Raw genomic sequence first — 12,864 nt, 5'->3', positions numbered from 1 at the left:
AAAAATGGAAATTCCTCGCCTTATTTTTTTTTTACTAAAAGAGAAGAAAAAATATTAAATAGGATTTCATTTATTATAGTAAAAAAACCCTATACAGTGGAGTCATGTCTACATGAGAAAAGAAGAATGAAGAATTGAAGTTATTACCTAGATCATTCAAGCACTCTTCAAATAACGTTTTTCTGTTCTCAATTATCAAGTTATTTCAAGTCAAAATAATTTTTGGTCACATTTAGCTGGCTGATGGCTTCAAGTCTTTATTTGTTTAATGACAATTAAGTTAATTTTTGTCTCTAATTTAACTAAAAGACAAATGTACTTTACTTTGTCATTAAACTAAAGGGTATGGACATAGTCATTGCAGAAATAATATATCTTCAGCACTTAATTTGCAATTGGCATGGCTGGCCATGTTATAATAAATAATGGAGTGCTTACTTGCAAAATAGTTCCCTTCAGACAGAGGTATATGCCCTACAGCCCCATTTTTCCTGGGCCCAGATTGTAGGAGTTCACAAGGGAGGAACTCTCTGTCAGCAGAAGGAGGCTGTGAAATCTATTTTAAGTTGTTAATTAAAGGCAACATTTGGCCTTATGGTGAACCAAGCACCTGACTTCTACAAAATAAGCACAGTGAAGGAATGCTCACCAAATATATGATAACTACAGATCCTGAAGGCCAGAAGGATGCTTAGTTTCTCAAAAGTTTATATGAATTTTTTCAGGCCGTTTGTTCTGATGTTGACTCCAGAATGTTACCCACGTCCACAGGAAGTCAATTCTAGGGATGGCTGACGCACTTTCTACCAGCTTTGATCAAATCATTTTGGTCTGTTAAGATATGGGAAAATACATTGGGTTAGGAACTAGGACAACCAGGATTCAAGCCCTGACTTGATTGGGTGACCTTGAGTAGTTTATTTAATCACGAGCATCTATGGTTTCTCTTTTGCAAAGAGGGCTTAAATTCCTTTCTTATAAGCTTGTTGTAATAATTAAGTAAGATATGAGCCGTGCCTAGCTCTCAGTAAAACCCTGGGCAAGTTAATTAGTTCTCTGTGCTCAATTACTTCGTCTTTAAAATGGGGATAGTAAAATGATGAGTTCATGTCCTTCGTAGGGACATGGATGAAATTGGAAATCATCATTCTTAGTAAACTATCGCAAGAACAAAAAACCAAACACCGCATATTCTCACTCATAGGTGGGAACTGAACAATGAGATCACATGGACACAGGAAGGGGAATATCACACTCTGGGGACTGTGGTGGGGTGGGGGGAGGGGGGAGGGATAGCATTGGGAGATATACCTAAGGCTAGATGACGATTTAGTGGGTGCAGCGCACCAGCATGGCACATGTATACATATGTAACTAACCTGCACAATGTGCACACGTACCGTAAAACTTAAAGTATAATAATAAAAAATAAAAATAAAAAATAAATAAATAAATAAAATGCGGATAGTATTAGTGCCTAGCTCAGAAAGGTTCTATGAGGATCAAATTAGTGTGTGTGTGTGTGTGTGTGTGTGTGTGTATGTGTGTGTATATATATATATATAGAGAGAGAGAGAGAGATCTAGATATATTAGTGTGTGTATATATATATATATACACACACATGCATATATACATATTTTCCAAATATATCTGAAATGTATATATCATATCTATAAATACCTCAAATGAATCTGTCATATAGTAAGGGCTCAATAAAGGTAGCTAGAATTTTGTGGTAAATTATTGTGAACACTGCATATAATAAATTATTTTATTATTATTAATAGTCTTGGTCTAAGAAAAGGAAGACTGAGATTGTACTTCTAGGTCAGCCAACAACTAATTTTTTAATCTACAGCAATGAACTCCTTAGTAAATGTTGCTCAAATAAACCCTGAGTTCCAAAGAACTATTACTCCCCTTATCTAATACGGACATGTCAGTTTCATAGGTTGAAATGGGTAGCCGTGTGTGTGTGTGTGTGTGTGTGTGTGTGTGTATGTGGTGTATGGTGTGTGTATGTGGTATGTGGAGGATGAGGTATGTGTATGGTGTGTGTAGTGCACGTGTGCTATGTGTGCTCTATGATGTGTATGTAAGAAGTGGTCCCGAAGAGCAGCCATAGAAACAATTCATTCTGGTACAATTCATTCTGGTAAGGGCTACATCTAAGAAAGATTTTAAAAATGTAAACACTATTTGCAAGGAGATAAACTCTCAGACTAGCAGAACTTCATGCAGATACTAATCAATTTCCTTTCCAATGGAATTCCTACTGTCAGAAATAGGGAAGTACTGTTAACCCCATAGTCACAGCACCAAAGTCTCCATTGCACCACTTTAAACACTGGCAATAATTCAGAAGTCAGAGGATTTAAACATTTAATTCCTAAAGAAAGATTACCCTCTAATCTTCATATATAACTCAGAATTGGTGGAGATATTCCTATAGCCTCTCCTTTAGTCATAAGAAAATTCTTTGATGGTCATAAAGTTTTATATGATGGCTCTACATCATCTCTGAAAATATTTTTCATGTATTCAAAGGCATATGGTTTCCCTCAGTGAACACCCAAAATGTTCACAAACTAGAGAATTTCTTTAATACAATTTGAAGCAGGTAGCACCCTGCCTTTTCTGCCTTCCAAATCCCATTTTGCTTCTTAGACTTTCCTTTACCTTTTCTGTCTCTTACAGTCAACATTAGGGCCTTCTACCTGCTGGGGAACCACCCACTGTACCTCTCTCTACCAGTGCCTCTGCCTCACCCCGGCCCTGCCTTGGCCTGGCCCTCTCACACTCAAGTTGAGCACTTTTCTCCAGTTGACTCTACTAAATGAGCTCTATACTTTATCCTCGTCTATATAATCTACTAATGACCCAGAACAGCTATTGCACCTAGATACCAACCATATATTTTATCTACATACTACTCACCATGCTGCATACTGTCAGGCCTCTGAGCCCAAGCCAAGCCATCGTATCCCCTGTGACTTGCACGTATACGCCCAGATGGCCTGAAGTAACTGAAGAATCACAAAAGAAGTGAAAAAGCCCTGCCCCGCCTTAACTGATGACATTCCACCATTGTGATTTGTTCCTGCCCCACCTTAACTGAGTGATTAACCCTGTGAATTTCCTTCTCCTGGCTCCGAAGCTCCCGCACTGAGCACCTTGTGACCCCCGCCCCTGCCCACCCCATCTCCCTTCGCTGACTCTCTTTTTGGACTCAGCCCACCTGTACCCAGGTGAAATAAACAGCTTTATTGCTCGCACAAAGCCTGTTTGGTGGTCTCTTCACACGGACGTGCATGAAATTTGGTGCCGTGACTCGAATCGGGGGACCTCCCTTGGGAGATCAATCCCCCGTCCTCCTGCTCTTTGCTCCCTGAGAAAGATCCACCTACGACCTCAGGTCCTCAGACCGACCAGCCCGAGAAACATCTCACCAATTTCAAATCCGGTAAGCAGCCTCTTTTTACTCTCTTCTCCAACCTCCCTCACTATCCCTCAACCTCCTTCTCCTTTCAATCTTGGCGCCACACTTCAATCTCTCCCTTCTCTTAATTTCAATTCCCTTCATTTTCCGGTAGAGACAAAGGAGACACATTTTATCCGTGGACCCAAAACTCTGGTGCCGGTCACGGACTCAGGAAGGCAGCCTTCCCTTGGTGTTTAATTATTGCAGGGACACCTCTCTGATTATTTACCCACGTTTCAAAGGTGTCAGACCACGCAGGGATGCCTGCCTTGGTCTTTCGCCCTTAGTGGCAAGTCCCGCTTTTCTGGGGAAGGGGCAAGTACCCCAACCCCTTCTCTCCTTGTCTCTACCCCTTCTCTGCTTTTCTGGGGAAGGGGCAAGTACCCTAACCCCTTCTCTCCTTGTCTCTACCCCTTCTCTGCTTTACTGGGGCAGGGGCCAGTACCCCTCAACCCCTTCTCCTTCACCCTTAGTGGCAAGTCCCACTTTCCTAGGGGGCAAGAACCCCCCAATCACTTATTTCTGCACCCCAACCTCTTATCTCTGTGCCCCAATCCCTTATTTCCACACCCCGACCTCTTATCTCTGTGCCCCAATTCCTTATTTCCATGCCCCAACCCTTTCTCTGCTTTTCTGGAGGGCAAGAACCCCTCACCCCTTCTCTGTGTCTCTACTCTTTTCTCTGGGCTTGCCTCCTTCACTATGGGCAAGCTTCCACCTTCCATTCCTCCTTCTTCTCCCTTAGCCTGTATTCTTAAGAACTTAAAACCTCTTCAACTGTCACCTGACCTAAAATCAAAGCGTCTTATTTTCTTCTGCAATGCCGCTTGACCCCAATACAAACTCGACAGTAGTTCCAAATAGCCAGAAAATGGCACTTTCAATTTTTCCATCCTACAAGATCTAAATAATTCTTGTCATAAAATGGGCAAATGGTCTGAGGTGCCTGACGTCCAGGCATTCTTTTACACATCAGTCCCTTCCTAGTCTCTGTGCCCAGTGCAACTCGTCCCAAATCTTCCTTCTTTCCCTCCCTCCTGTCCCCTCAGTCCCAACCCCAAGCGTCGCAGAGTCTTTCTAATCTTCCTTTTCTACAGACCCATCTGACCTCTCCCCTCCTCGCCAGGCCAAGCTAGGTCCCAATTCTTCCTCAGCCTCTGCTCCTCCACCCTGTAATCTTTTTATCACCTCCCCTCCACACCTGGTCCGGCTTACAGTTTTGTTCCGTGACTAGCCCTCCCCCACCTGCCCAGCAATTTACTCTTAAAAAGGTGCCTGGAGCTAAAGGCATAGTCAAGGTTAATGCTCCTTTCTCTTTATCCCAAATCAGATAGCGTTTAGGCTCTTTTTCATCAAATATAAAAATCCAGCCCAGTTCATGATTTGTTTGGCAGCAACCCTGAGACGCTTTACAGCCCTAGACCCTAAGAGGTCTAAAGGCCGTCTTATTCTCAAAATGCATTTTATTACCCAATCTGCTCCCGACATTAAATAAAACTCCAAAAATTGGAATCTGGCCATTAAACCCCACAACAGGACTTAATTAACCTCACCTTCAATGTGTACAATAACAGAAAAAAGTTGCAATTCCTTGCCTCCACTGTGAGATAAACCCCAGCCACATCTCCAGCACACAAGAACTTCCAAACGCCTGAACCGCAGCAGCCAGGCGTTCCTCCAGAACCTCCTCCCCCAGGAGCTTGCTACATGTGCCGGAAATCTGGCCACTGGGCCAAGGAATGCCCACAGCCCGAGATTCCTCCTAAGCCACGTCCCATCTGTGTAGGACCCCACTGAAAAGCGGACTGTTCAACTCATCTGGCAGCCACTCCCAGAGCCCCTGGAACTCTGGCCCAAGGCTCTCTGACTGACTCCTTCCCAGATCTTCTCGGCTTAGCGGCTGAAGACTGACGCTGCCTGATCGCCTCGGAAGCCCCCTAGACCATCACGGACGCCGAGCTTCAGGTGACTCTCACAGTGGAAGGTAAGCCCATCCCCTTCTTAATACGGAGGCTACCCACTCCACATTACCTTCTTTTCAAGGGCCCGTTTCCCTTGCCTCCAGAACTGTTGTGGGTATTGACGGCCAGGCTTCTAAACCTCTTAAAACTCCCCAACTCTGGTGCCAACTTAGACAATACTCTTTTAAGCACTCCTTTTAATTATCCCCACCTGCCCGGTTCCCTTATTAGGCTGAGACACTTTAACTAAATTATCTGCTTCCCTGACTATTCCTGGACTACAGCTATATCTCATTGCCGCCCTTCTCCCCAACCCAAAGCCTCCTTCGCGTCTTCCTCTCATATCCCCCCACCTTAACCCACACATATGGGACTTCTCTACTCCTTCCCTGGCAACCGATCACATGTCCATTACCATCCCATTAAAACCTAATCACCCTTACCCCACTCAACGCCAATATCCCATCCCGCAGCATGCTTTAAAAAGATTAAAGCCTGTTATCACTCAACTGCTACAGCATGGCCTTTTAAAGCGTATAAGCTCTCCTTACCATTCCCCCATTTTACCTGTCCTAAAACCAGACAAGCCTTACAAGTTAGTTCAGAATCTGCGCCTTATCGACCAAATTGTTTTGCCTATCCACCCCATGGTGCCAAACCCATATACTGTCCAATCCTCAATACCTGCCTCTACAACCCATTATTCTGTTCTAGATCTCAAACATGCTTTCTTTACTATTCCTTTGCACCCTTCATCCCAACCTCTCTTTGCCTTCACTTAGACTGACCCTGACACCCATTAGGCTCAGCAAATTACCTGGGCTGTACTGCCGCAAGGCTTCACAGACAGCCCCCATTACTTCAGTCAAGCCCAAATTTCATCCTCATCTGTTAGTCATACTACTATTCATCGTTCTCAACTACTCATACATGCCCTGCTCTTGTTTACACTGCCGGTTTACACTGTTTCTCCAAGCCATCACAGCTGATATCTCCTGGTGCTATCCCCAAACTGCCACTCTAAACTCTTGAAGTAAATAAATAATCTTTGCTGGCAGGACTATGCTGAATCTCCTTAGGCACTCTCTAATCAGATGTCCTAGGTCCTCCCAATTCTTAGTCCTTTTATACCTGTTTTTCTCCTTCCCTTATTCCATTTAGTTTTTCAATTCATACAAAACCATATCCAGGCCATCACCAATCATTCTATACGACAAATGTTTCTTCTAACATCCCCACAATATCACCCCTTACCACAAGATCTCCCTTCAGCTTAATCTCCCCCACTCTAGGTTCCCACGCTGCCCCTAATCTCGCTTGAAGCAGCCCTGAGAAACATCGCCCATTCTCTCTCCATACCACCCTCAAAAATTTTCGCTGCCCCAACACTTCAACACTATTTTGTTTTATTTTTCTTATTAATATAAGAAGGCAGGAATGTCAGGCCTCTGAGCCCAAGCCAAGCCATCGTATCCCCTGTGACTTGCACGTATACGCCCAGATGGCCTGAAGTAACTGAAGAATCCCAAAAGAAATGAAAAGGCCCTGCCCCGCCTTAACTGATGACATTCCACCACTGTGATTGGTTCCTGCCCCACCTTAACTGAGTGATTAACCCTGTGAATTTCCTTCTCCTGGCTCAGAAGCTCCCCCACTGAGCACCTTGTGACCCCCGCCCCTGCCCACCAGAGAACAACCCCCTTTGACTGTAATTTTCCATTACCTTCCCAAATCCTATAAAACAGCCCCACCCCTATCTCCCTTCACTGACTCTCTTTTGGGACTCAGCCCACCTGCACCCAGGTGAAATAAACAGCTTTATTGCTCACACAAAGCCTGTTTGGTGGTCTCTTCACAGGGACGCACATGAAACATACTGTCTGTAAGAACCAGCCCTAAGCACTGGCAGCATAGACTCACATTGAGATGACTTTTCAGCCCTGTCCTCAAGAAGCTTGAAATTTAGTTGAGGAGATCGGAAACAAATGAGTTAAATAGTTTAGAGAAATGAAGAAAACAATTGAAAAAGAGAGAATGGAAAAGAATAGAAACACTTGTCTCTAAGTTTCTTACGAAGAATAGTTGGTATTTAGGAGGCTTCTCTCAATAAAAAAAGAAACCAACAAAACTATGTTATTAATGATAATATTAACCAAAAAACCAAACTCTGTAAAACACTTTAAAGAAGTTTATTCTGAGTCTATATGAGTGACCACAGCCCAGAGAAACACAAATCCAAGAAGCCATTAACAAGTGACACAGCCAAATTACATTTTGGCTTTATATATTTCAGGGAGGCAGGAGTTAATTACAGGCAAAGACATAAACCAATACATGGAAGGTATACATTGGTTTGGCCTGAAAAGGTGGGCTATCTTGAAGTGGGGCTTTCAGGTTATAGGTGAATAGAGAGATTCTTTAATTTGCAATAGGATAAAGGAGTAAAGCTCTGTCTAAAACTTGAGTCAGCAGAAAGGACTGTTTTAAGTTAACATAAGGATGTTATGTGGCAAGGATGATGGCCTGCAGATGGAACTTGACTCTTGACTTGCATGCCTTAGGTCTTGTGTATAATTTGTAATCTTATTGCCACAAAGAGTCTCTTTTGTCAGCCTTATGATCACTGTTTTAACATTAATACTAGTCAGTAGTTGTGCCTAAACTCCAAAAGGGAAGGGGCATAATGAGGTGTGTTCCATCTGCTTTCCTTCAGGTCCAGGAACTCACTTTTTATGGTTTCTCTGGGGTCCCCTTTGGCTAAGAGAAGGTCTGTTCAGCAGGTAAGGGTTTTCAATTTTAAATTTAGTTTACAATAATTTTCAATTCAGTCCAAAAAGCTCTACTCAAACATGAAATGCCTATAATCTAACACTTCTGTATTATTTTAGCTATACCTAATCACCACAAAACTTTGCTAAGGAAAATATATTAGAAATGTTAAATGGAAATTCCTAATAACTAAAAACATGAGTACCTAAAAAATGTTAGCACTTCACTGGAAAGTAGGACAAACAAGGGCTTCTCCTCAGAGTAAGGAGAGCAAGTTATTAACTACAGGAATCCAGGGACCTATTCACTTCCTATCTGCATAAGAATAAGAGAAAGCTTCTTTTAATTTGCATAAAGAATGACACTTCTAAGGTCAATCACTCCCCAGGTGATCAGAACTAGAGAAAAAAGAACAGAAAAGATTGCCCCTTTGAGGGTGTAGGAATTCAACGCAAAAGAACAAGTTATTCATAAGTCAAGTGCTCCCCAAATATGGAACTGCCGGTGAATGTAATAAATAGTTGTGCCCTCATCTGTACAATGAGGGTTCTGAAGGAGATGATTTTTAATTTTCCTTTCAGCTCTCCTATACTAGTTCTTTTTGCAGAATATTGCCTGAAATAGTTGATAATTATTTATCTATTGCAGGGTATTTTTGAAATAATTGATATAGATCGTCCACGCTGTATGAGTTGAGAATAAGGAGCCATCCTATTTATATATTATTCCAAATGTATTCATGGGCAAGGAGGGGAGTGAACTGAGTCCTGTGGGGGGTCAACAGCACGTACATATTTGGAGTGGAAGCTACAAGGAATTTCTGTGAGGGCAACCCTAGGAACCAAGGCTTGGGGAAACTTTGAAGGAAAATTGAAACTGCAGCAGAGAACCCAAGAGAAGTTGCAAGAAAAGAGCCTGTGGAGGTATCATCCCATCTGCTTATGGGAGAGCTGCTGATAAGAGAGAGATCTTGCCAACATTATAGATGGCTTTGCACTACAGAAGTCAGTAATGTGACAATTTCAAATACAGGAGGCAATTCAGACCATTTTTCTTCCTCAAACTACACCATACAAGGCATGCTGTTGTTAAAAGATGATTTTTAAAAAGTGGTAAAATCATGATTTCCATACAGATAGGAAAATTAACATATGCTAAAGACTTTATGTAACTCTATTAATAAGGCAACTGGTAAGATATTGCAACTAGTTCAACAGGCATTTTAGATCTAGAATACTAAAATGAATACATGAATGGTTTCTACTACATTGCAAAGGGAAGACTGTTGACAGAATGTGCATGTTCATAGACAAGAATTCTTTTGTATTGTTATCAGCTGCAATTCACAGAAATGTAAACTAGCTTAAAGATAATGAAAAACTAGAATCAGGTAACCTAAAAAGGTAGGATCTTAACAATGCATAGTTTCCTTTGAAAACTTTGCAACTCTGTTTTTAAAATACACTCTGTTTACAATACTGGAACCTCCTCTGAGAAGCTCTTATTTCAGTTCTCTGTCCATAGACCTAGGTCTCCAGCATATAGTTTATAATATCAAGACCAGAATTGCTAATGATTTTCAATTACCCACTAGTTTCTTTATTTTTCAATATAAATATAAATATAAAAATTTATATTTTTATAAATATATGTAAATATAAATATAAAAGTTTTAAATATAAATAAATTTCAAAGCTTTTTGGGAAATTGCTCTGACAGTAAAACAGAGCAGACAGACGTGTGTTGGATAACAGATCCCATCAGAAACGGAGAAATAAGGCCAATTGGGGAGAAGCAGGAAATAAGGGAAGGGCAACCATGATGAATTTGTAAGGGAGTAAGGTCTAATCTGGAACTGGAAGGATGAGTATCCAGGAGGGAAATCAGGAAAGCCAGCTGGGGCTAAGCAAAGAGAACAAAGTTTTAAAGGTCCCAGAGTAAATGAGATTATGGACCAAAGGGGGAATTTGTATAATGTTGTTGGTATGTAGACATAGCTGAGGAATAGGAAGAAATAACAAAACAAAACAAAACAAAACAAGGTCAAAATGAAGCCATTTTTTTAAAAGCAAACCATATTCAAAACAGAGGTCTTTCTAATTATAATTGAACTAGTATTTTTCTAACATATGACACTGATATTAAGGGACATTTTCCTGGAGGAGTTATGGAAGAGATGAAGGAATCACTGGCATTGATCATTTAAATGATCCAAAATAAGCAGTCAATGTTTGCAATTCAATAAAACCATTGGACAACTCGAGGGAAAAAAATCAATTCAATTATTTAACAGAATGTGGCCTGTTATGTCTGTTATAAGATGAAACCCTTAGCTATTTGCTTGAAAATTAAATAAAAAGTCACATCTAGATTTAAATTGTCTAGACTTACTAGATTTCTGAAGTTAAAAAAAAATGCTAGAATTTTTCTAATAAATAAGAAACCTGAGGTACCCAGATAGTAAGTAGTTACTAGACTTCTAGTCTCATACATCTATTGCAAATTCTGTCTACTACCAAGGAAAACACTGCATTAAAGAAGTTTAATATTTTTGTAGGGGATCTCACAGTCTTAACCATTTTCATGTGACTATATACCTCTAAGTCAAGAAAGGCTATGAAACATTCCCTATGTGTTTTGACTATTGAATAAATAGAGGAACTAATGTTCTTGAATGCACACACACATATTGGAAAATGTTTCATGCTATGACCTTATTTATGCAGTCAGATTTGTTCTTAATTTTCTCATATGTGCATTGATACTAGTTGTCTTCTGCAAACAAAGATCATAATAATAAGTATCAATTAATAAGTTGGTTATAGTAGTGTTACCGGGGGTCCTTGCTCACAGAGCTCCAAAGATGGTGGCAGGCTGCTTCCAAGATGGCGGCAAGCCTTGTGTTCTCTGACCTGGTGTTCTTGGCCTCAGGGATTCCAAGGAATGGAGTCTTGGGCCATGCAGTGAGTGTTATAGCTCTATTAGAAGCCGTGGGTCATGGAAGAGAACCGTGGAACCCAGTGACTAGTGTTCAGCTCCATTAGGATGAACCCGGGCACTTAGGTGTGCAGGAACAATGGCAAGCCTTTAGCCCGATCGGGAGCGGCAATGGATGCCTTGCTGGATCAGGAGCGCAGGGGACACCCTGCTGGATCCAGAGGGATGGGAGTCAGCAGCGGGTCTGCAACGGTGGCAAACAGCAGTGGTGGATGTTGAGCGACAGCTCAGCTCGAGCGGTAACAAACACGGACCAGAAGAGTGCAGTTGCAAGATTTAATAGAGTGAAATAGAGTGAAAACAGAGCTCCCATACAAAGGGAGGGGACCCAAAGGGGATTGCCTTACTGGCTAGAATGCCTGAGTCTATATCCCGATCCTTGTCCCTCCCGCTGTGCTCTCAGGCAATAGATGATTCGCTATTTCTTTACCTCCTGTTTTTGCCTAATTAGCATTTTAGTGAGCTCTCTGATTGGCTGGGTGTGAGCTAAATTGCAAGCCCTGTGTTTAAAGATGGATGAGGTCACCTTCCCAGCTAGGCTTAGGGATTCTTAGTCGGCCTAGGAAATCCAGCTAGTCCTATCTATCAATAGCAGATTAATATTCTAAGAAATATAGCAAATTAATAGTAATGTACAAAAATAGCACTAGTAACCCCCACCATCAGGGCTTTTGCCAGGAATTACAGCCAAGTTAAGCAAACAGGCAGCCCTGAACTTCAAGCCATGGCTGATCAGAGTAAAAAATAAAGAACAGAGATTATGGCAAAATAACATAAAACACTCACTTTTCATCAATTTGTAAAATCAACACATGCCTGGCCCCCGATTTGTCTTCCATTCTGATTGGTTTTTGTCCTTTAAGAATAAGAATATTGAATACAACCAAAATCATTTATTATGTGCCAGGCACACTTTGAAGCACTTTTCATCCAATTAAGCATTTATTCCACAGAAGAGTCCTATGTGTTAAATGCAAACATTTTCAGCTGTATTATTATATATAGATGGGGAACCTGGTGCTGAAGTAAATTGCTGATTGTGGACCCAAGATTTAAAGACTGGGAGCCCTGTCCTTATATATAACATTGTTCCCAACTAAGCCATCTTCAAACATGATACCCTTATCACACCTCCAGAAAAGCAAGCTAAATCTCATTCACACTGAAGTTGAGAGGATTAACCATGACCTGAGGTTGGAAACCAATACCTTAAAGCCCTCATGTAGGGAGAAGGCTGAATCAGCCCTCAGAAACCCACGGCAAAGGAGAGGATTTCTTATGGGGAGGTCTGGTTGTGGATGGGATAGAAATATACAGGGATAGAGAGAAAGTGCCAGAGATGCCTTTTGTTCTTAGAATTAAAGTTTTATAGGAATTGCTGCTCTCTTCAACACCAATAAACAAGCCAAGGAACTCAATTCCACTTTTTTTTTTTTTTTTTTTTGGTTATAGACAGACCTAGGCACTGCCCTCTTCCCCAAGCCAGCAGGAAATAAGCACACAGCATTTCTACTTTCCATATCTAATCGTGATGTTTAGGCTGACAGCAAAAGTGCCAGGTACTGTCAGTTGTGATCACAGTCACCAAACTGGAGAACATGGACTGAGACCCCGACATTGACCAAACCTGAGACTGAGACAGCAGCTGCTTCA

General features: G+C 41.4%; 2 annotated features.

The window, feature by feature from the left end:
* Positions 6,066-6,605: an enhancer, noted in NCBI's record as "H3K27ac hESC enhancer chr2:81103634-81104173 (GRCh37/hg19 assembly coordinates)". NCBI's record gives its function as "activates a minimal SCP1, AML or CMV promoter by ChIP-STARR-seq in primed H9 embryonic stem cells {active_cell/tissue: H9 hESC(primed)}" and the evidence as "EXISTENCE:reporter gene assay evidence [ECO:0000049][PMID:30033119]".
* Positions 8,090-8,943: an enhancer, noted in NCBI's record as "OCT4-NANOG-H3K27ac hESC enhancer chr2:81101296-81102149 (GRCh37/hg19 assembly coordinates)". NCBI's record gives its function as "activates a minimal SCP1, AML or CMV promoter by ChIP-STARR-seq in naive H9 embryonic stem cells {active_cell/tissue: H9 hESC(naive)}" and the evidence as "EXISTENCE:reporter gene assay evidence [ECO:0000049][PMID:30033119]".

Source organism: Homo sapiens, chromosome 2 (assembly GCF_000001405.40).
Source record: "Homo sapiens chromosome 2, GRCh38.p14 Primary Assembly".
In the NCBI taxonomy this organism is placed as follows: domain Eukaryota; kingdom Metazoa; phylum Chordata; class Mammalia; order Primates; family Hominidae; genus Homo; species Homo sapiens.
This window is presented reverse-complemented; position numbering and strand designations above follow the sequence as displayed.